Here is a 26,592-nt window from a genome sequence, read left to right on the forward strand (position 1 = left end):
TTACAATCATGGCAGAACGAGAAGCAGGCACCTTCTTCACAAGGCAGCAGGAGAGAGAGCTTGCATGTGAAGTGGGAGGAGCCCCTTATAAAACCATCAGATCTCATGAGAACTCACTCACTGTCACGAGAACAGCATGGGGGAAACCGTCCCCATTATCCAATCACTTCCCTTTCTCGACACGTGGAGATTACAGGTCTCTCCCTTGACATGTGGGGATTTCAATTCGAGATGAGATTTGGGTAGGGACACAGGACCAAACCATATCAAGTGTGGTATCCCCATGATGGGATCAGACACTGAATTTGCCATGATCTCATCCTGCCAGCACCTGGATCTTAGACTTCCTAGACTCCAGGCCTGTGAGAAATGAATGTCTATTGTTTAAAACACCAAATCCATGGTATTTCATTATAGCAGCCTGAGCAAACTAAGACACATCATGAGGGCAGAAGCTAGGAATGTCCAACAGAGTGCCTGGAATAGAGTATCCACTCAGTTGGTAGACAAGAGATGAATGAATAAATGCATGTATGAAAGAGTAAATATAAGCCCAACAACACTGTCATTATTATCGTTTGCATTTATGCAGAGCTTTATATATGCAAATTACTCTGCTAAAATATGTTATAAATATGTAAGTGCTCTAAGCAATAATTCTTAATAAAACCTGCCATCAAAATGAATTAATATTTAGTAGGCACAAACTAGGAGCACGAACCCTGTATTAGTCAACTCTCCAAGAATGCATCTCTCTTCATAATAGAACTATTTGGAGGTTTCAGAGCCGGCATCCTAACTCATCTCTTAAATTGCTTTTTATGCCCCCTACATTGTTAAATAAATCTCCTTTCCTTGTGCCCAAATCCTGTTTTCGTGATATAGTGTTTCGAAAGTCTACTGAGCATTTTATTCTGCTACCAAACTGTTTGATCTTACCTCTTTTTGCATCTCTTCTGATGTTTGTAATTTTCTTGCTGGTAGTCCGATTTCTCATGGACACTTATAGTTTTGACTATTCAGAACAGCAACTCCCTTCTGAGAAAGGCTCCATCAAAACCCCATGTGACCCTAGTATGTGGGGAAGGTGACATCATAGAACCTCACCCCCAGGACCACAGTGATTGGCCCATGGTTGAGCACATGACCCAAGCTGGACCAATCATGGTTCTTCCCTCCAAAAGGTTTTACTTGGGAAAAACAGGAAAATAAGTTGGGAAAGAAGAGGGCTTTTTTCCCCACTCTGTGAAGTTGCTTGCTTGGCTGGAAGTCCAGAGCTATCAGAGGCCATCCCTTACCCCGTGAAGGAGCTGTCTTGCAATAGAAGAAGCAGCCCACCCAAGGAGAGAAACAGGGTGAGAAGTGGGAGGGTCCTGAGAGCTTTCAAATTCCTGATTTCAGGAGCTGAAATCTCAGAGATTCTCTGTTTCCTGACCTCCCAAGGCTCAGCTGTCAAATTCACCCTTCATTCTGGAAGCCACCTCAGCCTGCTGCCAAAAATCTCCCTTTTGAGCTGGGTGCAATGGTTCATGCCTGTAATCCCAGCTACATGGGAGACCAAGGTGGGAGGATCTCTTGAACTCAGGGGTTTGAGACCAGCCTGGGCAATATAGTGAGACCTCAATCTCAAAAAATAAAACCAAAAATTCCCTTTTAGCTTAAGTTTAAACTAATGTTTAAGTTGTGTTTCTGTTATTTCTTATCCAGAGAATCCTCCTGTACACCCCCCTCAACTCCACATACATTTGCTAGGATCACTGTAGAATTCATTGGATTTAAGCAGCAATCTGAATACTAAACATGTAAACTTTAAATCATTGAAGCAGGCAACTCTCCATGAGGTGATAAAAGATAGGGTTGAAGATTTTCAGCTCAAGAGCCTTGGGTTCAAATTCTACCTTCATCACCGACTAGCTAAGCGACCTGCCTTAGCTTCTCATTTGTACAATTTGCAAAATGCTAAGAGGATCATTGTGCACATTTAATGCGATTATATCTTATATCTTTTCTTTTTTTTTTGAGACAGAGTTTCGCTCTTGTTGCCCAGACTGGAGGGCAGTGGTGCAATCTCAGCTCACTGCAACCTCCACCTCCCAAATTCAAGTGATTATCCTGCCTCAGCCTCCCGAGTAGCTGAGATTACAGGCACGCACCACCACATCCAGCTAATTTTTGTATTTTTAGTGGAGATGGGGTTTCACCATATTGGCCATCCTGGTCTCGAATTCCTGATCTCATGATCCACCCACCTTGGCCTCCCAAAGTGCTAGGATTACAGGGGTGAGCCACCATACCTGGCTGGAATTATATCTTTGAAGTCACAGGACAGCACCTGGCACATAGCAAGAACTAATAAATGTAGCTATAATGACCACTACTTTCCTCTCTTGTCATTGGTGTCTCCCATGGCACAATCACCCCATGGGATTCAATGCACATTAATTTACTTAAGAGCCTCAAATTTCTTCATTTTTACTTTTGGATTGTTAAATAAATATTAATTTCTGAATTGAATGGGCTTTCCCTTGGACCACATTCTACTTCTTCGTTTTGCAAATGATTCCATCCTGATTGTTGCTCCTTCCCTATTTCTTATTAGTTATTTTTCATAATACTTTCTATTCCTATCCCCCAACACCATTTTCTTCCTTCCTTAGGAAATTCTTCTTCTTGTGCCCATACTCTGGAACTTTCCTACGACAAGGAGCAATTTGCTGTATGTTTATTTTCTTTGGAATCATCTCTCCTTCATGGAAGCAGGGTTATTTATCAACCTGTGATGGAGCTCTTCCTGGTTTGGTTAGGGCATGCTGCATACTGCTCCTGTAATAATGCTTTCTTTGGCCAGGACACAAACCACAGTCAAAAAAGGTCTTCCTGAGTTCTGAAGGTCAAGCAATTAGAATTTTCTCAGGCTTGTAGAAGAGTGGAATTCTGGAAACCAGTCTTCGCCTCAGGGGAGCATCTGTTGGAAGTTCTTAGGTAAGTACTGGACTTAAAATTGGTGAAGTGTAGGTGAAGTTCTCGCTCTGCTACTTCCTGCCAGGTAGCTGCCAGGCTAGTCACCTTACCTCTCTGAGCCTCAATATCCTCATCTATCACATGGGTGTACAGTAGCATTATTCTGATGTTGTGTTGTAAGTTCTCAGAAAAAGATACCCAAAATGAAGCCCTCAGAAGCAAAAGTTTTTCTCTGACCTTATCCTGTTCTGTCCTTGGCACCTCATTCTGCCACTAGGCTAGCCACAGAAACTAGAGTCTCTGGCTAGGCACGGTGGCTCATGCATGCACTTTGGGAGGCCAAGGCTGATGGGTCACTTGAGGTCAGGAGCTTGAAAGCAGCCTGGCCAATATGGTGAAACCCCGTCTCTACTAAAAATGAAAAAATTAGCTGGGCATGGTGGCACATGCCTGTAATCCCAGCTACTCAGGAGGCTGAGGCACGAGAATCACTTGAACCAGGGAGGTGGATGTTGCAGTGAGCCGAGATCGTGCCACTACACTCTACCCTGGGCAACAGACTAACAGACTGAGACTTGTCAAAAAAAAAAAAAGAAAGAAAGAAAAGAAGGAAGGAAGGAAAGAAGGGAGGGAGGGAAAGAGAAAAGAAAGAAAAGAGAGAAAGAGAAAGAAGAAAGAAAGAAAGAAAGAAAAAAAGAGAAAAAGAAAGAAAGAAAGAAAGAAAGAAAGAAAGAAAGAAAGAAAGAAAGAAAAAGTTAGAAGCTCTCATCTCCAAGAGAGATCATAGAAACCAGAACCCCTTTTCTCTCAAAGCCCACCATAAAACCTAAAAATATTACTCTAACCTTACCTCTCTACCCTCACCAGCCTTTTTGTGTAAAAACTGGCCTTAAAGAAGTTATCTGACCTGTCTTATTTAATTGTAGGTTATTGGATCCTCATTCCAGAGAGGGCCCTGCTCCATACCCAGAAGGAAGGAATGCTGCACAGAGAGGCCAATAAGAATCTAGACAGGGCTGGCTCAGTTTCCCCAGCCTGTGAGCATTAGATCACCCCTTTTTGTCCAATCACTTTTCTACACAGCTGTCCATACTTCAAACCTGATCATAAAAATGGGCAGCGTCTTCTGTATCTTTGGGTCTTCATTCTGAAGTCTCCCATGTCACATACAACTCTGATCAAATACATTTGTATGCCTTTTCTCCTATCAATTTGCCTCTTGTCAGTGACTTTCAGTGACTCTTTAAAGGGCAGAGGGGAATTTTTTCCCCTGGTCCCTACAGTGTGAAAACTAAACTGAAACAATATGATAGTTTGTGAATTGTAAAGTACTACAAAAATGGGAGTTGCTACTAATGCAAACTTTAATAGGAAACCAGTGACAGACATAAAGCAGGGAATAGTTCTTCTTAGTTTGGATCACATAGTGTCATGTGCAGACACACAAGACTAATTCAGGATACTTTGGTGGAGAGCCACATTGAGGATTTTCATAAGTAAAGCAGACAAATGGAACTAGTTATTCATGGCCACAGTCCCTCTTAGTAGTTCCAGAGAATAGGCTCATCAAAGAATAATTTTAGGCTGGGCGCAGTGGCTCACACCTGTAATCCTAGCACTTCAGGAGGCTGAGGTGGGCAGATTGCCTGAGTTCAGGAGTTCGAGAACACCCTGGGCCACATGGTGAAACCCTGTCTCTATTAAAATACAAAAAATTAGCCGGGCTTAGTGGCGTGTGCCTGTAGTCCCAGCTACTCGGGAGGCTGAGGCAGGAGAACTGCTTGAACCTAGGAGGCAGAGACTGCAGTGAGCTGAGATCACGCCATTGTACTCCAGCCTAGGCAACAAGAGCAAAACTCCATCTCAAAAAAAAAAAAATTAATTTTAATTTGTGAATCTCAGTAGGAAAAGGTTTCAGAAGTAGAGTTAAATGACCTACGTAGCCTCTTAAATGGGCCTTCCCTTCTTCTGCCTTCACTGCCATCTTTCCTGGATCCCCTGTCCTCAAGAAGTCGGGTCTGCATGGGTCATCAGGAACTCTCTTGCCCCATCTGGCTCTTATGATACAGAATTTTCTAGTGCTCACTGCCAGCCCTACAACTTTTTCTCAAAGTTCAGTTGCTGCTAGGCTCAGATTTTCCCTACCTGAAAAACAGGGGTAGTGAAATCCATAACACACGTCTAAACAGAACATTTTGGAAACACAGAAAGATGACTAATACTGCCTGGGAGGGGGGAAGACTTCACAAGGAAGCTAATTTTAGAGTTAAGTCCTAAAAGTGAAGGAGGTGTTGCCAGCAGGTAAAGGGTTGGAAGGAACCCTGCTCCCTGTCCCCCAGTAGAGGTAACAGCCTGTGCTTTGGACAAAGGCCTCAAAGAGCTTGCTGTGCTCATGAAGCAGCAGGTAATGGTCCTGCTGGAGTGAGGGCTACGTGGGGGTTGGGGGAGGGGCCTGGTAGTGCTGAAGCGGAAGGGGTTCGGGGGAAAGGGTCCCCTGGAGTCTGGCCATGTGAGCCTGCGACCCCAACCACCTCCTACCCACCATTTCTCCCACAGCTGCAAAGAGGCATCACTTTTTTGTCCCAAATGGAAGGTAATTTTGTTAGATGCATTTTTCAGCCAACCTCTGATAAGAGTTAAAAATAACTTCCAAGGTGAGCCCCCTGATCAGTCTCCTCTTTTATCTCCTCCTTTTCTTTAAACCTCGGCATCTATTATGAGCCCTCCCCCATCTTCCTCCCTGGGGACAGAGGGCCTCTCATGCAAATAAGACTCTGGTGGCCAGCTGTGACAGCCCAGAGTCACCAAGGTCAGTATTCCGATCAGGGTTTCAATTCTCCAATACTGTGTGTCGGTGGTAATCTGGAACCAGTTACTTCATTTCTCCTGCCTCAGTTTCCACATTGATTAAAGGGCTGTTGGGGATAAATTAGATGATGTATGGGCTTCTCTGTTCCTAAATCCTGGTTCTTTTTTTTGGAGATGGAGTCTCACTCTGTCGTTCAGGCTGGAGGCAGTGATGTGATCTCGGCTCACTGCAACCTCGGCCTCCCAGGTTCAAGCAATTCTCCTTCCTCAGCCTCCTGAGTATCTGGGATTACAGGTGTACACCACCATGCCTGGCTAATTTTTGTGTTTTTAGTAGAGATGGGGTTTCACCATCTTGGCCAGGCTGGTTTTGAACTCCTGACCTCAAGTGATCCGCCCACCTTAGCCTCCCAAAGTGCTGGAATTACAGGCATGAGCCACCATGCAATGCCTGCTTCTTTCATGCCTCAAGACCTTTGCCCTTTCCATTCCCTCTGTCAGAAATACTCTTCTCCTGGCTTTTCATGTATCTGGCTCCTTCTTAGCTGAAATATCCCCTTTTTGGGTTGCCTTTCCTGTCTAATGTAGTTTCCTCCATCGTTCTCTATCACAACACTCCTTTCCTCATAGACGAATTGCAGCTTATCATTATCTATTTGAGGACTTGCTGTCTTATATCAGGCTTTCTAAGAATGGATCCTGAGATGAGGATACATGGGCAAGTGATTTATTAAGGAGGGGCAGCCAGTAAGGGAGTGGGGGAGCAGGACAGGGGTAGGCAAGGAGGAAAGTGCGGGTGGGATTTGAGGCAGAGTCTCAGCTTAAACCTGATCCCACAGGGGAGCTCTGCAGTATAAATTCTGCCTTGGAGTTTATCCCAACTTGAAGCAAATAAACTGTGTTTTTATTCCTGTAGCAGTCAGTCAGTGGCTAAGGGCCACTGGGGTAGGGTTTAGAGTGGGATAGACTCCCATGCACTTCCATCTTCCTCCAGCTGCCCAAGAACATGTCTCTGGAAAGTTGCAGGTGCGGCCATCGCAGAAAACACACACAGGAGCTGGGGGAGAGGCACAGAGAAACAGTGTAGGATCCAGCCAACAGGACCAGGACAGCACTGGCTACACTGGCTTATCGATTACATCCCACAATAGAAAGTAAGCTCCCCAGGGCAGATACCTTATCTTCCTGTTTACTGATATATCCCTAATGCCATTTGCGTAGTACCTGCCCCATAGCTGGCAATCAATTACTTTCTTAAATGAATGAAGGAAGCTCTTAGTGCAGTGTGTGGCATATAGGAAGTGTTCACTTAATGTTGTTGGAAACATGAGTCTGTATACTTTTTCACCCTTCTCATGCTTCTATCCATAACATAGGGATGCTCAGGCATATGGCCTCAGAAACATGGGCTATTGAGACAGAGAAAAAGACAACTCTGGAAGGAGAGAGCCTGGCCTTACAGAAGACATCTGAACTATCAATCAACAGAAATCTCACGTATAGTTGAAGGCAAGTCATAAGAGTGGGGTGGGAGATGGATAAGTCAATCCTACAGTTAAAAGAGGGGATGTCTAACCACTAGACAATTGTCCAACTCAGGAAGTAACAGCTTCAGGGTCCTAGACAACATAGGATTTGACCTCATGTGCGAGAAGGCAGGATCTTAGGGCCTCAGAGGAAAGGGCTGGGATTCAGGACAAATATTTGGTCCTGGCAGGGCTGAGGAGTACTGAACAAAGATAACATGGCAAAAGCCTAGGCCGATGGAGTGGCTAGCCTACAGTGAGCATTAGGCACTAAAGAAAAACTCTTTTGCCCTTCTCATACAACACTTCTGATACCAAATGTGTGGAGTTTTTCCACACAAGCAATTCTCCAATTCACTGCTGTCACCAACTGGGTGTCCAACAATCCCATCCCATCCCATCCCATCCCATCCCACCCCATCCCATCCCATCCCATCCCATCCCATCCCATCCCACCCCATCCCATCCCATCCCATCCCATCCAATCCCATCCAATCCCATCCAATCCAATCCAGTCCAATCCAATCCCATCCAGACACTATCTACCTGGAGTTAGTGTCAGATCCCAGAAGGTAAAGGGCTCAATCCCACAAGACTGCCCTACTTCAGATGCCCAAATCAAAAGTCTGGGCCACCTGTACTTACTTCTTTTTTTTTTTTTTTTTTTTTTTTTTTTTGAGATGGAGTCTCCCTCTATCACCCAGGCTGGAGTTAAGTAGCACAATCTTGGCTCACTGCAACTTCCATCTCCCAGGTTCAAGCCTCAGCCTCCTGAGTAGCTGGGACTACAGGTGTGTGCCACCACACCCAGCTAATTTTTTGTTATTTTTTAGTAGAGACAGGGTTTTACTCTATGTTGGCCAGGCTGGTCTCAAACTCCTGACCTCAGGTTGGCCACCTGTACTTCTAACCAACTAGCTTACAAATTGGGGGCTCCCATGCCTCCCTCCTCAGGTTTGACAATTTGCTAGAATGGCTCACAGAACTCAGGAAGGCACTTTACTTACATTTACTGGTTTATTATAAAGGCTACCACTCAGGAACAGTCAATGGAAGGGATGCACAGGGCAAGACATGGGATGGGGAGGGGAGGGGTATGCAGAGCTCCCATGGCCTTCCAGGCACACCATCCTCCCTGCACCTCAATGTGTTCACCAAGCTGGAAGCTCATCACATCTCATGCAGAACTTTTGTAGAGCTCTATCTCCAGCCCCTCTACTCCTTCCAGGAGGTCAGAGGGTAGGGTTGAAAATGACAACCCTCCCTTGGCCAGGTGCGGTGGCTCACGCCTGTAATGCCAGCACTTTGGGGGGCCGAGGAGGGGGAATCACAAGGTCAGAAGTTCGAGACCAGCCTGACCAACATGGTGAAACCCATCTCTACTAAAAATACAACAAATTAGCTGGGCATAGTGGTGCGTGCCTGTAATCCCAGCTACTCAGGAGGCTGAGGCAGGAGAATCGCTTGAACCTAAGAGGCAGAGATTGCAGTGAGCAGAGATCACGCCACTGCACTCCAGCCTGGGCGACAGAGTGAGACTCCGTCTCAGAAAAAAAAGAAAATGACAACCCTCCCAACACTTGGTCTTTCTGGTAACCAGCCCCCATCCTGATGCTATCTGGAGGCCCCACCCTAAGTTACCTTGCTAGCATAAACTCAGGTGTTATCAAAAGGAGCTTGTGGCCGGGCACGGTGGCTCACACCTGTAATCCCAGCACTTTGGGAGGCCGAGGCGGGTGGATCACCTGAGGTCAGGGGTTCTAGACTAGCCTGGCCAACGTGGTGAAACCCCATCTCTACTAAAAATACAAAAATTAGCTGGGCATGGTGGCAAGTGCCTGTAATCCCAGCTACTCGGGGGGCCAAGGCAGGAGAATTGCTTGAACCCGGGAGGCGGAGGTTGCAATGAGCCAAGATCGTGCCATCGCACTCCAGCCTGGGGAACAAGAGTGAGACTTCATCTCAAAAAAAAAGGAGCTTGTCATGGGTAACAAAAGACATTCCCATCATTCAGGAAATGCCAAAAGTTTTAAAAGCTCTGTGCCAGGCAGTGGGGCAAAGACCAAATATATTTTTATTTACATCACAGACTCCTCAAAGGGTGATAAACAGTGACACTTTTTGGTCACCCAAGCTATTGAGAGTTATATCTCTTAGAATTCTTGGTTGCAAGGTGGGCAATCATCTTATCTCAAGAACTCCCTCAGTCCTGGGCATACCAGGACAATTGATCACCCTTTTGCAAGGAAGAGAAACTGTCACAGTTTGGATTGCTTGGGAACCAGGCTCTAAAATGGAGAACAGGCCGGGTGTGGTGGCTCATGCCTGTAATCCTAGCACTTTGGGAGGCTGAGGCAGGCAGATCACTTGAGGTCAGGAGTTCCGGACCAACCTGGCCAACATAGTGAGACCCCATCTCTACTAAAAATACAAATATTAGCCAGGTGTGGTGGCAGGTGCCTGTAATCCCAGCTAGTCGGGAGGCTGAGGCAGGCGAATCGCTTGAACCTGGGAGGCGGAGGTTGCAGTGAATTCATATTGCACCACTGCACTCCAGCCTGGGTGACAGAGCGAGATGCCATCTCAAAAAAAAAATTAAATAAATAAAATGGAGAACAGCTTGCAGCAGGTACGTTAGGAAGTGCTCCTGGGATCACCACCTAAGAAAGAAAAAAAAGAGATGGAAGCAGGAGTGGGCAGAAGGAGGAGAGGGGCTGCAATGAAGTCTCAGTGTAGGCCTCAGCCAGTCCCATGGATGCTCAAGGCTACCATGGCCAGAGTTGTCGTGAGCGTAGCGTTGCCAGAATTAGCAGATAAAAATACAGGAAGTCCAGTTAAATTTGAATTTCAGATAAACAATGAATAATTTTTTTTTTTTTTTGAGACGGAGTCTTGCTCTGTCCCCAGGCTGGAGTGCAGTGGCACGATGTCGACTCACTGCAAGCTCTGCCTCCCAGGTTCACGCCATTCTCCTGCCTCAGCCTCCCAAGCAGCTGGGACTACAGCTGCCTGCCACCGCACCTGGCTAATTTCTTTTTGTATTTTTAGTAGAGACGGGGTTTCACTGTGTTAGCCAGGATGGTCTGGATCTCCTGACCTCATGATCCACCTGCCTCAGCCTCCGAAAGTGCTGGGACTACAGGTGTGAGCCACCGCGCCCGGCCAACAATGAATAATTTTTAATATGTGTGCTCCGTGTAATACTTTCAACATACATATATCTTTTTCACTGTTTATCTGAAATTTAAATTAACTGAGTATCATGTTATCTGACAACCCCTCTTGAGTGGGAAAGGGGGCCTTATGACCTATGTTGACCAGCCTCTGGATTCAGATTGCTCCAGTGAGGGGGTGTAACCTTAGGTAAAGAGACCCTCTTCACTGAGGCCATGCTGAAGAGGGCTGACAGCTGAGGGCTGTCTGCCAGCAGCCCACTCAACAGCTGAGAGAATAAGTCCTTCAGACTGGAAGGGAACCGTGGAGAGCCCATCACAGTGTCTGCTGCCGAAACTGACTCTCGGCTGGAATGTACTGGGAGGATATTGTATTGCACAGAATCAATGGGAGGGATAGAGAATCTGCCTCAGAAAATAGACATAAGAGGCTGGGCGTGGTGGTTCACGCCTGTAATCCCAGAACTTTGGGAGGCCGAGGTGGGTGGATCACCTGAGGTCAGGAGTTCAAGACTAGCTGGGCCAACATGGTGAAACCTCATTTCTACTAAAAATATAAAAATAAGCTGGGCGTGGTGGCACATGCCTGTAATCTCAGCTACTTGGGAGGCTGAGGCAGGAGAATCGCTTGAACCCGGGAGGTGGAGGTTGCAGTGACCTGAGATGGCGCCACTGCACTACAGACTGGGCGACAGAGTGAGACTCTGTCTCGGGGGAAAAAAAAGACATAAGAGCTAAGCAGCAGGAATAAAGTCAAACCACAGTCACAATCTGGCTGAGTTGCTGTTGCAGGTACTAGAACCTCTGCTCACCACCCAGTAGACCCTCAGCCTGCTGCTGCCCTATTGAAAAATACCCCTCCCTCCACTATTGCATCAAGAGGCCAAGTCCTGCTGTGAGTATCTGATTGATTGATTTAGCATGACCATCCTCCAGCTTCCATGGTGGCAGGAAGTGTCCTGCCTCTCATCTAGTCTTCCAAAATGAGAATTCCCCTCAAAGATTAAAAGGGCCTTGTGCTAGGGACAACGTTAGAAACTTGTGATGTCTTTAAAAGCACCTCACTGCACGCTGAATCATGGTCTGATTAATCTTCTTCAACTGGCCTCAAGGAGTGGGATCATGAGACTTGGGAGAGAAAATCATGTGTGATTACAGATCTGATTCTCTTAAATATAGTATAAAAATACCAGTGGGTAACTCCAGGAGCAGGAATGAGTCTAATTATGTAGGTATTTTACCCGAACACAAATGTTACTTTCCAATGCAGAGAAAAGTGACTTTGTCTTGTGGAATTTGATTTCTGTGGTTATAGTGACTAGCATTGCTGTATTTTACATCTGAATCTCTACAGAGAAGGAAGAGTAGGCAGACCACTCCTCCAAATGATAGATGATACCCATCCCACATATAAGAAATGTTCTTAGGTTTGTAGGCTAATCTTGTATATCAATAAGAAATATAGATGTTTACTACAATTGTTTAAACAAATTTGAAAACATATCATAGCAAAGGTATATTGGAACTGTTTCACGATAGGTCTCAGTGGGTAGATGTGACATAGTGGAATCACCAGTCATCATAGATCTTCAGTTCTGTAGGTTCAGAAACTTTTTTTTTTCTCCCTGAGATGAGTCTTGTTCTGTCACCAGGCTGGAGTGCAGTGGTGAAATCTCAGCTCACTGCAACCTCCACCTCCCAGGTTCAAGCAATTCTCCTGCCTCAGCCTCCCAAGTAGCTGGGATTACAGGCACCTGCCACCACACCCGGCTAATTTTTGTATTTTTAGTAGAGATGAGGTTTCACCATGTTGGCCAGGCTGGTCTCGAGCTCCTGACCTCGTGATCTGCCTGCCTCTGCCTCCCAAAGTGCTGGAATTACAGGCGTGAGCCACCGCTCCCAGCCCAGAAATCTTATTTTTTATCACTTTTCCATCTGTTCATCCTTCCATCCATCCATCCTTACATTATCTATGCATCCATCCCACCATCTAGTCAACAAATATTTATTAAGCATCTAATATGTGCTGTGTACTGAGTGTAGGTACTGGGGATACAACGGTGAATAGGAGAGTCATGGCTGTACTTGTATAGCCAATATTCACTGGAGAAACAGACAAAACACAAGTAAACAGACAAATTAATTGTAAGTTTCTATCAGCAAAGAAGGAAATAAATAAGAGACTGAAGTAGGAAATAAAGGGTGAGAGAGAAGATACTTGTATTAGTCAGTTCTCACACTGCTATAAAGAAATATCTGAAACTGGGTAATTTATAAAGAAAGGAGGTTTAATTGGCTCATGGTTCCACTGGCTGTACAGGAACAAATGGCTTGGGAGGCCTCAGGAAACTTACAACCATGGTGGAAGGCAAAGGGGAGGCAGACATGTCTTACATGGCTGGAGCAGGAGGAAGAGAGTGAGGAGGAGGTGCTACACACTTTTAAATAACCAGTTCTCACAATAATTCACTCACTATCACAAGAACTGCACCAAAGGGAAAATCCCACCCCTCATGACCCAATCACCTCCCAACAGGCCCACCTCCAACTTTGGGGATTACAATTTGACATGAGATTTGGGCAGAGACACAGATCCAAACCATATCAATACTTATTTTAGATAGGATGGTAGAAACTAGTTCTCACTAAATAAAACCAGTTTGTAAACCAATGTGTCTCTCTCCAAGGATAGAGGGGCTTAATTTAAAAAACAAAACGAAACCAAAATCCAGCTTTCAGAAAGGCAAGCCTTCATCATTTTCTGCATCTTGATAGCCTTATAAACATTTGTGTTACACCTGTCCCATAAAGGCATTTGAATTTTAAATCCTGGACTAGAGTCTTCCAACCAGGCTGCTCCCTTCCTGACTTAGTAAACAGAAGGTTGCTAGATTGGCTGGGAATTAGAACATAAATTGGACATTCCTATAGGATAATATTCTTTAAATTTTGAGTCTCAGTCTACTCATGGATATGAAACCACCCCCAACTTGTTATTTACTATTATTTAAAAAAAATAGAATAGACATATCAGAGTATATGGCACATGGATTGGGTGCCACTACTGCTTTGTGAAAATTTTGCTTGTTTTATTTATATGAGAACATATACTGGGCTGGAATTCAAATCTATTTCTTACTGTGGGACATATAAATTTCTAGAACTCTAATATTTTTTAGAAAAAGAAGATGGAAATATGCAAGAAATATACGAGTGTTATTAAAAGTGCAGCATGTCTATGCATCAGAAATATACATGATTCTGAAAGCCAGAGTGTCATAGAGAGCAAGACATAGAAGTTAAATATACCCATGTTCAAATCCTAGCTCCTTATGAGCTTAGTGGCAAAGTTGGACAAGTTACTAGTAATGATTATAGCTAACATTTATGAACATTTACTCTGTTTCAAGCACTGGGTTGAATGATTTGCAGTATTAAGATATTTAATTCTCAAAATCACCTTTCTGAGTTAGGTATTATCAGCTCCATTTTTTACACGAAGACACTTTGGCCCAGACAGGACAAGAACCTTACCTAAAACCACACTGTTGGGTGTTGAGCTGGGATTGGAACCAGGTAGACTGGCTTTTGCACACACACACTTAACTACTATGCCACACCACTTCTTATACAAAACCTCTCTATGTCGGATTCCTTGTCCATGAAGGAAGACCAGCATTTGCCTCATAGGTTGCTGGTTCTTTCTGCCCCTCTCTTTCCTGCTAGTTGATGACACCCAACTGATCAACAGAATTTGTCCTGAGTTAATGCCCACCTCCACCACACTTCCTGGGCATCACATCTCCATGCCTTTGCTCATGCTTTTCCTTCTACCTGGAATGTTCTCCACATTCCCTCCTTTCCAGCTGCCACCTGCTTTCTCTAGCTAACACCTACTCAAACGTAAAGGTTCAGTTCAGATGTTACTACCTCCATAAAACCCTTGGATTCTCTCATCCCTTTTCCCCTTCCCTGTCTGGCCTGGCACAGGGCCCCATCTGCATGCTACCCTAGCACCAAGGCATATACCTACCACAACATTAGCTACAAGACAGTGAACCCAACTGTTCACCCATCAGTCTCCCCTGAAAGGTACTAATGAAATTCACATCGGCTAGGCCATGTCCTTGTGTCAGTAGCCTAAGCCTTAGCACAAGCAGAACCTGGTACAGAGTAGGAACTCAGTAAGGGCTGGTAAAGTGAATTTAATCAGAGTCACGCATAACCCTGTTTCTTGTGTCTGTAGAATCACCCTAAAATGCTTTAAGCTTCTCTACAGAAAATAACTTCCTGGCTGGGCGCGGTGGCTCACATCCGTAATCCCAGCACTTTGAGAGGCCAAGGCGGGCAGATCACCTGAGGTCAGGAGTTTAAGACCAGCCTGACCAACATGGAGAAACCCTGTCTCTACTAAAAATACAAAATTAGCTGGGCGTGGTGGTGCATGCCTGTAATCCCAGCTACTCAGGAGGCTGAGGCAGGAGAATTGCTTGAACCTGGGAGGCGGAGGTTGTGGTGAGCCGAGGTTGCACCGTTGCACTCCAGCCTGGGTGACAAGAGAGAAACTCCATCTCAAAAAAAAAAAAAAAAAGAAAGAAAGAAAATAACTTCCCTATAAACATAACAAGAAAAAGTCTGTCCCTAATACATGGAATCAAATTTATTCATTCAATGACTTTTTATTGAATAACTACTATGTCCCAAACACTGTTGTAGGCAGTAAAACAAACAAACAAAAAAATCCACGTCCTCAGGGAGCTTACATTTTTATAATTGCATGGAGAAGACAGACAAAATAAATAAGCAAACTGCAAACTACACAGTGTATTAGTGTGTATGTGTATATATATGTATATATGTTAGTGTGTGTGTGTGTGTGTGTGTATATATATATATATACACACACTTTTTTGTGTGTGTGTGTGTGACAGAGTCTCACTCTGCTGCCCAGGCTGAAGTGCAGTGGCACGATCTCGGCTCACTGCAACCTCTGCCTCCCAGGTTTAAGCGATTCTCCTGCCTCAGCCCCTCGAGTAGCTGGGACTACAGGTGTGCACCACCACGCCCCGCTAATTTTTGTATTTTTAGCAGCGATGGGGTTTCACTGTGTTGGCCAGGCTGGTCTTGAACTCCTGACCTGAAGCGATCTGCCTGCTTCAGCCTACCAAAGTGTTGGGATTACAGGCGTGAGCTACCAAGCTCAGCCTATTGTTTTTTTTTTTTTTTTGCCAGTCAAATTTAACATTGTGGGGGTGTTGTATACCAACTTTAGTGACACTAATGTTAATAAGCTGTGATAACCCACCACCATTGGACCAGCCTGGTTTTTTTTTTTTTTGAGACAGGGTCTTGCTATGTTGCCCAGGCTGGAGTGCAGTGGCGCAGTCATAGCTCACTGTAGCCTTGACCTCCTAGGCACAAGCAATCCTCTTGTCTCAGCCTCCTGAGTAACTGGGACTACAGGCACATGCCACAGTGCCAGGCTGATTTTTAATTTTTTTGTAGAGTTAGGGTCTTGCTACATTGCCCAGGCTGGTCTTAAAGTCCTGGGTTCAAGCAACCCTCTTGCCTCAGCTTCCCAAGGAACCGGGATCACAGGTATGAGCCACTGCATCTAGCCTGTATTAGTATTTTTGATGGTGTTAAGTGATATAGACAAAAATCAATGAGGGAAAGGGAAAATAGACTATGCCAGCAATAGGTGGGTCACCATTTAAATAGTACGGTCAGAGAAAGTCTTTCTGAAAAGATGATAGTTGAACAAACACCCCCCCAGAAGTGAAACAGCCACAGTGGGAGCTGGGAGGAAGACCTTCTGAGCAGAAGAACAGCAAGTACAGAAGCCCCCAGTTGAGAGTGTGCCCAGCATCCTTACAGAACAGCAAGTGGGCCATTGGGCTGGATAGAAGAGGCTAAAGGTAAAATTAGCTGGGCATGGTGGTGAGCACCTGTAGTCCTAGCTACTCAGGAAACTGAGGCAGGAGGATCACTCGAGCCCAAGATTATGAGGCTGCAGTGAGCTATGATTAACCCACTGAACTTCAGCCTAAGCAACAGAACAAGACACTGTCTCAAAAAAAAAAGGTGAGAGTTATAGGTGGCCAGGTTAGAGAGGTAATGGAAATGGAGGCTGAGAGGGGGAGTAAATTGAGGAGGGCCTTGTCGGCCATTAAGGATTGTGGCTTTCAAAATTGAACAGATTAAGAGTTTAGGATAAGGATTAACAATACTTGAGTTTCAAGACAAAACGTTTGGGCATCTAAGTCCTAAAAGGTTATTGCAGTTATTTTTACAAAATCAAATGAGACTCCATTATTTAAAAGACAAGCATAGAAACCTGTCTAGTTTCAATATTAAATATATTAAAGGAGACCTAAGCACATTTTTTTTCTAGAAACATACCCTACATGTATTTCTCTGCTACTCTTAATAAATTATCAAGCCTGGCTGTATCAGCATATCAAACAGTGGCAAGTGTTCATCTAGCCAGGATGCTTGGCATGACATGAAGTGAATTAAATACACACAGTCCCCGGCCCTCTCCCTTCCCCTTCCCAATTTAAATTCCAACAGAAAATTCTGATAGGAATCTTGTAGTGACTAAACTGGAAGCACAGCAGTAGTACCTGAACACCACAGGGTGCTCCTGCCTAAGCTTCCAGTTTCTTCTCAATGCCAATGAACTCTGCTAATCATGCACTTCTAGGGTTTCTATCAGTTGGCCACCTTTCTATCCCCTCAAACCTGAATCAGTCATTAAAACCACGCTTGGGCCAGGTGCAGTGGCTCACGCTTATAATCCCAGCACTTTGGGATGCCAAAGTGCTGAGTGGATCACTTGATCCCAGGAGCTCGAGACCAGCCTGGGCAATGTAGTGAGACTTCATCTCTATTTTTATAAAGAAGCTAAAATATATATATTTTTAAAAACCAGGCTGGGGCTTGGTGCAGTGGCTCTGCACTTTGGGAGGCCAAGGCAGGAGGATCGCTTGAGCCCAGGAGTTCAAGACCAGCTTGGGCAACATAGAGGGACTCTGTCTCTTAAAAATAAAATAAATAAAAATTTAAAAATTAGCAAGGTGGCACATACCAGTGGTCCTAGCTACTTAGGAGGCTGAGGCAAGAGGATTGCTTGAGTCTGGGAGGTCGAGGCCGCAGTAAGCCATGATTGTGTTATTGCCCTCCAGCCTGAGCAGCAGAGCAAGACTCTGTCTCAAAACACAAAGCAAAAGAAAACAAAAACAGGCTTGTATTTGGCCTCCAGGCAAGAAAACCTACTCATCCCTTATCCCACCATTCTCTGGTTTTCGAGTTGCTGTAGAAGTCATCTCTGCTCTTCATCAAGCATCACGTACTTTCACTCTTGCCTTCCGTTCTTCTCTACATGTACTCTGTTCTTGAAGAATCCATCAATTCCTTCTGCTTTTTATAGATAACTCCAAAATCTATACCCTTATCTTGTGTGAGCCAATCCTTCCTTTCCGATGTTCTGATAAACATTTCTGAGTAGATATGGGCTATTAAACTTCGCATTTACTAGTGCTCTTTCTGTTCCTATATTCTATGTATCATGTTCTTCCATTCAACAAAGTTTCAGAAAAGAAATACCGTTTCTTCCTCCCTTCCCTCATATTTCATCAGTCACTAAATTCTAACATGAAGTTACCACTTTTTATTTTCATGGCCCCCACACTGCCTCAGACCCTCATCCCCTTATGCTTGGAGTAACTCAGCGGCCCCCAGTCTCTCCTTCAACCCAGTTGGAGAAACCAGGCTAAAACGTCCCTTTGTTTTGTCACCGTCTTTTAAGGAGTACTAAATTAAGACATACCTCATTTTGGATAACCCCACACATTGATCGGATCCTCAAGAGACAAAAGACAATCCAAGTTACCCAAGCCGTTTACTCCCTATTAAATGCTAGGGTTAGAACACCTCGCCTGGCCTCTGATCCTTTTCTTTCTTTCCCTGGAGCAAAAAGTTGATGAAATTTAATTACAAACTTTGCCTGATACAGTTATGACCTCCACACTTAAAATTCCATTATGAACATCCTGTACAGAATTTCAAATAATTTATATAAATACTCCACCCTAAAGGAAGACTGTACATCATGACTTCCTTCTAATGAGTACAATGTAGAAAGGAGAGGAAAGTAACTGTACAGTGAAGAAACTTGACAAACACTACTTCAGCCAGGTGATCAATATCAACAGTCAGAAATCATGTTGATGGTATGTACCCTTGATATGATGTGATAAAGATGGTGATTTGCCTCTGTGACCTTCCTCCCAAAAATCCATATCCCCAGTATATATGTAAGAATAACATCAAACAAGTTCCAATAGAGGGGTGTCTTACAACCTACCTGACCAGAACTCCTCAAAATTGTCAAGGTCATCAAAAATAAGAAAAGACTGAGAAACTGCCACAGAGGAGCCTGAGGACACATGATGATTAAATGTGAGATCCAGGATGGGATCCTGGAACAGAAAAAAGAAATTGGGTAAAAACTAAGGAAATCTGAATAAACTAGGACTTGAATTAATAATATATATATATTTCTTTTTTTCTCAGACAGGGTCTTACTCTGTCGCCTAGGCTAGAGTGCAGTGGAGCAATCTTGGCTCACTGCAACCACCACCTCCCAGGCAAGTGATCCTCCCACCTCAGCCTCCCGAGTAGCTGGGACTACAGGCATGCAGCCACCACACCCAGCTAATTTTTGTATTTTTAGCAGAGACGGGGCTTTGCCATGTTGGCAAGGCTGGTCTTGAACTCCTGACCTCAGGTGATCCACCTGCCTCAGCCTCCCAAATTGCTGGGATTACAGGCATGAGCCACTGTGCCCAGCCTCATTTTTTTTTTTTTAAGACCAAGTCTTGCTGTGACGTCCAGGCTGGAGTACAACAGCATGATCTTGCCTCACTGCAACCTCCTCTTCCTGGGTTCAAGTGATTCTCCTGCTTCAGCCTCCTGAGTAGCTAGGAAAGACTACAGGCATGCACCACCACACCTGGCTAATTTTTGTATATTTAGGAGAGACAGGGTTTCACCATGTTGGCCAGGCTGGTGTCGAACTCCTGACCTTAAGTGATCTGCCCACCTCGTCCTCCCAAAGTGCTGGGATTACAGGTGTGAGCCACAATGCCCGGCCTCATTTTGGTTTTAATTACACTTCCCTGATGATTAGTGATGTTGAGTATTTTTTTCATATACCTGTTGGCCATTTGTATGTCTTCTTTTGAGAAATCTCTTTTCAGGTCCTCTGTTCATTTTTAATCAGGTTGTGTTCATGCATTTGAGTTGTTCGAGTTCCTTATATATTTAAGAGATGTTATTAATCTCTTAATATGTACTTAATTAATTATAAAAATTACAAGTTATGGCCAGCCGCAGTGGCTCATGTCTGTAACCTCAGCCCTTTGAGAGGCCGAAGTGGGCGGATCACCTGAGGTCAGGAGTTCAAGACCAGCCTGGCAAACATGGTGAAACCCCGTCTCTACTAATAATACAGCTTTCTCCTTTCACATTCCTATTTCTTGGAGACAGTTTTTGAGGAGCATGTACAAAGAAATCTTCTGTTGGTTAACGGCCTTGAAATTGTGTGTGGATTAACAATTAGTCTGAGTCCAGAGATGGAGGAAATGCTCTCCTGATTGGCTAGCGTTGCACTCCAGGAATTAACTAGAAGAGATAGACTGTCCCTCCAGGTGGACAAGGAATGCTCTGGAATCTGTCAGCCTGAGTCTTTTGAAACCCCTTTTGGGTAAAACTGAAAAGGGAGACACACAACAAGATGCTATGCTGACATTTTATCCCTAACTTCACCTTTTTTTTTTTTTTTTTTTTTTTGAGACGGAGTTTCACTCTGTCACCCAGGCTGGAGTGTAGTAGTGTGATCTCAGCTCACTACAACCTCTGCCTCCAACCTCTGCCTTTTGGGTTCAAGTGATTCTCCTGCCTCAGCCTCCCGAGTAGCTTGGATTACAGGTGTGCGCCACCACACCTGGCTAATTTTTGTATTTTTAGTAGAGACAGGGTTTTGCTATGTTGGCCAGGCTGGTCTTGAACTCCTGACCTCTAGAGATCTGCTCACCTTGGCCTCCCAAAGTGCTGGGATTACAGCTGTGAGCCATTGCACCCAGCCACTTCTCCATCTTTTGCTATAAGATTAAGAATGTCTTCACCTATTTCAGTTAGGATGAAAGATTAAAAATACGCTTTACTTTTAAATACTTTTGTCTGCCTGTTACCGGCAGATTGCCAAGTGTTTATCACCCTAAACCTATCTAAGATTTTATATAAGATTAGGAAGATCCCAATAATAAATATAAGATTTATATTGATATATTATGTAATATATTACATAATATATAAGATTGATTATATTCAATCTTATATTGAATACAAATATGCATGAACCTTAAATATGTTAAAATGAGGGGCTGGGCATGGTGGCTCATGCCTGTAATACCAGCACTTTGGAAGATCGAGGGGGGTGGATCACAGGATCAGGAGCTCAAGACCAGCCTGGCCAACATAGTGAAACCCTGTCTCTACTAAAAATACAAAAATTAGCCAGGCATAGTGGTGCACGCCTGTAGTCCCAGCTACTTGGGAGGCTGAGGCAGGAGAATTGCTTGAACCCGGGAGGCGGAGGTTGTGGTGAGCCAAGATTGTGCCACTGCACTCCAGCCTGGGCAACAGAGCGAGACTCCGTCTTAAAAAAAAAAAGGAAAAAAAAAAAAGGCCGGGCGCTGTGGCTCATGCCTGTAATCCCAGCACTTTGGGAGGCCGAGGCGGGTGGATCACAAGGCCAGGAGATTGAGACCATCCTGGCTAACACGGTGAAACCCCGTCTCTACTAAAAATACAAAAAATTAGCCAGGCGTTGTGGCAGGCGCCTGTAGTCCCAGCTACTCGGGAGGCTGAGACAGGAGAATGGGGTGAACCAGGAAGGCAGAGCTTGCAGTGAGCTGAGATTGAGCCACTGCCCTCCAGCCTGGGTGACAGAGCGAGACTCTGTCTCAAAAAAAAAAAAAAAAAAATGATACTAGCGGGTTCTATGGGAAAAAGTTTTACTTCCTATTTCCTTGTCCCCAGAAATAGAAGATGAAAAGTCATCTCAAGGAAATTATCTTATTGTAGCCCTAATTTCCATAGGAGAAAAGTCTTCTTCCCCTAAATGTAGGGTGTCTACCTTTGAGATTCGAGTAATCTGACAGTGACTGAAAGCTAATAACTCTACCCCAAATTTCACCCTGCAGCTGAAAGCCCATACAGAATGGAGGTCCCAGGAGGTCATAAAACGATAGTAGTTAATAGTGTACGGAGAGTGGGGTGGCTTTTAAGGGCTAAGGAAACTCAGCTGGAAACACTCCTGGATTAGTCCATATCCAATCAGGTATCAGCCTCTTTTTTCTTTTTTTGAGATGGAGTCTTGCTCTGTCACCCAGGCTGGAGTGCAATGGCATGATCTTCGCTCACTGCAGCCTCTGCCTCCTGGGTTCATGCTTTATGTCTCTATAGAATTGAGGAAGAAGGTTTTTGTGGCCAGAAGCTTGGGTGCTGGTTTCAAAACGTGGGACCCTCCCACCCCAGCTAGCCCTTTTACTCTTTCTCCTCTCTGAGTCTTGGTTTCCTCATCTGCCAGATGGGTGTTCTCAGTCTTGGCTGCACATAAGAATCAGTCAGGGAACTTTGAACACTGATGCTCAGGCCCTACTTCCAGAGATTCTAATTCACTTGATCTGGGTGGGGCTTAGGCATTGCAAATTTTATTTTATTTTATTTTGTTTTTTCGAATTATGAAAGACTTTTTATTATTATTATTATACTTTAAGTTCTAGGGTACCGGTGTACAACATGCAGGTTTGTTACACATGTACACATGTGCCATGTTGGTGTGCTGCACCCATTAACTCATCATTTACATTAGGTATATTTCCTAATGGTTTCCCTCCCCCCACCCCCCACCCCATGACAGGCCCCGGTGTGTGACGTTCCCCATCCTGTGTCCAAGTGTTCTCATTGTTCAGTTCCCACCTATGAGTGAGAACATGCAGTGTTTGGTTTTCTGTCCTTGTAGTAGTTTGCCCAGAATGTTTCCAGCTTCATCCATGTCCCTACAAAGTACATGAACTCATCCTCTTTTATGGCTGCATAGTATTCCATAGTGTGTATGTGCCCCATTTTCTTAATCCAGTCTATCATTGATGGACATTTGGGTTGGTTCCAAGTCTTTGATATTGTGAATAGTACCGCAATAAACATATGTGTGCATGTGTCTTTATAGCATCATGATTTATAATCCTTTGGGTATATCCCCAGTAATGGGATGGCTGGATCAAATGGTATTTCTAGTTCTAGATCCTTGAGGAATCACCACACTGTCTTCCACAATGGTTGAACTAGTTTACAGTCCCACCAACAGTGTAAAAGTGTTCCTATTTCTCCACATCCTCTCCAGCACCTGTTGTTTCCTGACTTTTTAATGATGGCCATTCTAACTGGTCTGAGATGGTATCTCATTGTGGTTTTGATTTGCGTTTCTCTGATGGCCAGTGATGATGAGCATTTTTTCATGTGTCTGTTGGCTGCATATTGTCTTCTTTTGAGAAGTGTCTGTTCACGTCCTTTGCCCACTTTAATGGGGTTGTTTGATTTTTTCTTGTAAATTTGTTTAAGTTCTTTGTAGATTCTGGATATTAGCCCTTTGTCAGATAAGTAGATTGCAAAAATTTTCTCCCATTCTGTAGGTTGCCTGTTCACTCTGATGGTAGTTTCTTTTGCTGTGCAGAAGCTCTTTAGTTTAATTAGATCCCATTTGTCAATTTTGGCTTTTGTTGCCATTGCTTTTGTTGTTTTAGACATGAAGTCCTTGCCTAAGGCATTGCAAATTTTAAAAAGCTGTGTAAACCAGATTTCTCCAAGGCTTTGCTATCCCAATGTGGTCCCTGGACTGGCAGAATTGGCTCCACCTGGGAGGTTGTTAAAACTGCAAACTCGACCAGGCACGGTGGCTCATGCCTGTGATCCCAGCACTTTGGGAGGCCAAGGCAGGCAGATCACAAGGTCAGGAGTTCGAGACCAGCCTGGCCAATATGGTGAAACCCCTGTCTCTACTAAAAATACAAAAAAAATTAGCTAGGTGTGGTGGCGGGCACCTGTAGTCCCAGCTACTCGGGAGACTGAGGCAGGAGAATTGCTTGAACCCGGGAGGCGGAGGTTGCAGTGAGCCGAGATCGCACCACTGCACTCCAGCCTGGGTGACAGAGCGAGACTCCGTCTCAAAACAAACAAACAAAAACAAAATGCAGACTCTCAGGCCCTTCCCCAGACCTACCGAATCAGCATCTGGGTATTAACAAGACCCCTGCCCACCACCACCAGGTGATTCATGTGCACGTTAAAATTTGGAAAGCTCTGCTCCAAGCCTCCCAGCCTCTCTAGCAGACTAGTTTTGTGACCTCTGTTCTTTCCTTCCTGGGCCACCAGGTGATTGTAGTAATCAGTGTCCATGAACCAAGGTTTACCCCACACTGGAAAACTGGCTCTCAGTTAGTGGCTGAACAGGATATTGGAAAATACCGCTGCAAAGTCTTACAAGAAGTTTGTTTGGCGATAGTTAATTACACAGTAATTTGGAAGAACATCAGGTCATTTTAGAGTTGTTTTACCTACTGTCCAGAAGCAAAAAAAAAAAAAGGTATTTAGGTCTTAACCTACAGCCAATTCTGAAACATTCTGTACTTTGCAAAAACCACGTCAGGCAAGCCATGCAGTTTACATTTAAAGCAGTCATACTGCAGAGAAGCTGCTCATGAGAATCACCTGGGAAGGTTTTAAAACTCCTGATATGCAGGTCCCCAACACAGGCCAAATCAATCAGCATCTTGGTAGCTTTTTAAGCTCCCCAGGTGATTCTAATAGCCAAAGTTGAGTGTCGCTGGTATAGCGATTTTACTATTGTTATCATGTTTCAGATGTACCAAAAAAAATCCTGTTTTTGGGCCAGGCACGGTGGCTCACGCCTGTAATCCCAACACTTTGGGAGGCCAAGGCAGGTGGATCACAAGGTCAGGAGATCAAGACCATCCTGGCTAACACTGAGAAACCCCGTCTCTATTAAAAATACAAAAAATTAGCCGGGCTTGGTGGCACGTGCCTGTAGTCCCAGCTACTCGGGAGGCTGAGGCAGGAGAATGGCATGAACCCAGGAGGCGGAGGTTGTAGTGAGTTGAGATTGCACCACTGCACTCCAGCCTGGGCGACAGAGTGAGACTTTGTCTCCTCAAAAAAAAAAAAAAAAAAAAAATCCTGTTTTTGTATCTTGTTAAAGTCAGGCAATGTTTCCTATGCATTGTCATTGATAGAGTAGCCCTGTGCTGAGTATCTTAATGTTTCAAGCACCAATAGCAGGATTCGAGAGAAGTTGCCTACCCATGAAAGAAACCTAGACACAGGCCAGGGACAGCATGCCCCTTAATGCTGTGCTTGACTATGCTCAGGACAGTGGCAAACCTGACACTTGGTATTATTTCTCCAGGGTTCTACATGCGCAGGAAAACCTACACTGACATTTTATTTTATTATTTATTTATTTTTTTGAGACAGAGTCTTGCTTTGTCACCCAGGCTGGAGTGTAGTGGAGCGATCTCGGCTCACTGCAACCTCAGCCTCCTGGGTTCAAGCAATTCTCCTGCCTCAGCCTCCCAAGTAACTGGGATTACACGCACCTCCACCACACCTGGCTAATTTTTGTATTTTTAGTAGAGATGGGGTGTTGCCATGTTGGCCAGGCTGGTCTCAAACTCCTGACCTCAGGTGGTCCACCGGCCTCAGCCTCCCAAAGTGCCGGGATTACAGGCATGAGCCACCACACCCAGCCTACAGTAACATTTTAAACAGGACCTTTTTTCCCTGCCGGTAGATTTCAAGAAGTAGGTCATTGGATAGGTAGGTTTGACTTTTTCTCTTGGCCCACAAATCCATGACAATGGCACTAATAAGTTAGGCAACAGATATCTACTGATAGTGGTGCCCAGCAGTTAAGGGAGGAGCTGGAGAAGAAGCCCAAGGCCTCCAGGTTTTGACCAATGAGAAAAGGCATCCATAAATGGGATAGTTAACAAACAGTGCAGGGCAGAGTATAATCAAGGTTCCTGTGGTGGTAAGATCAGCAAGGACTGCAGAAATTCAGAGGAAGGAAAAATCAGTGCCCGCTGGAATAGGACAGAGAAGCTTTGCAACAAAGATGGTGGATGGAGGGGGTAAGGAGGGTCTTGGAGGAGGTAAACAATTTATATAATGTTCTTATCACTATTTAATACGTAGAATACTATTTATTACATTTACCAGGCATTGTGCTGATTTCCATGTATTGTCTTATTTACTCCACTCAACATCATAAGGTAAAGACTACAATTATCCCCATTCTGTAGAAGATGATTACTGAGGCGCAGAGAAGTTAAATAACTTGCCCAAGGTCACAATGCAGGCAAGTGACAGAGGAGGGTTTGAACCTGGTCTGTGTGCCTCCCAAGGCCATGCATATACTATACTATACTATACTATACTATACTGTACTGTACTGTACTGTACTGTACTGTACTTTGCTGTGCTGTGCTGTGCTGTGCTGTACTATACTATACTATACTATACTATACTATACTATACTATACTATACTATACTATACTGAATATCCACCATACTATGTTGAATATCCACTTAACACTTATCAAATGTGTGCCTGCAGGCACTTCCCTAACATTCTACATTATCCCATTTAATCCTCAAGACAACACTTTCAGGTAGGCAGTGCAATTATTTTCAAGTTCTGGATAAGGAAATGTGGGCCTAGAGGGGTAAAGTAACTTGCCTGAGGTCTAGGTTGCCAGGTAAAATACTAGACACCCAGATAAATGTAATAAATAATAAATAATCTCTTAGTAGAAATATTGCATGGGATGTACTCATACTAAAATTCATTGTTTATCTGCCATTCAGATTTAAATAGGTATCCAGTTTGCATTTGTTTGTTTTTGCTAAATTTGGCAATCTTACCAAGGTCACCCTGCAAAGCGAGGTTTGAATCAGGTGGTCTGACTGAGGGCCCACA

The 26,592-nt window shown here is 44.4% G+C and overlaps 1 long non-coding RNA gene across 2 annotated transcripts in view, besides 1 other annotated feature; it reads left to right on the forward strand.

Moving 5' to 3' along the window:
* The window catches only part of MAILR (macrophage interferon regulatory lncRNA), a 113,606-nt gene that overhangs the window by 70,505 nt on the left and 16,509 nt on the right, over positions 1–26,592 (forward strand). The window lies entirely within an intron of this gene.
* Positions 22,076–22,145: a silencer, noted in NCBI's record as "silent region_19451". NCBI's record gives its function as "represses an Ori minimal core promoter by ATAC-STARR-seq in GM12878 lymphoblastoid cells {active_cell/tissue: GM12878}" and the evidence as "EXISTENCE:reporter gene assay evidence [ECO:0000049][PMID:35858748]".

This window comes from Homo sapiens, chromosome 8, assembly GCF_000001405.40.
Source record: "Homo sapiens chromosome 8, GRCh38.p14 Primary Assembly".
Classification (NCBI taxonomy): Eukaryota; Metazoa; Chordata; class Mammalia; order Primates; family Hominidae; genus Homo; species Homo sapiens.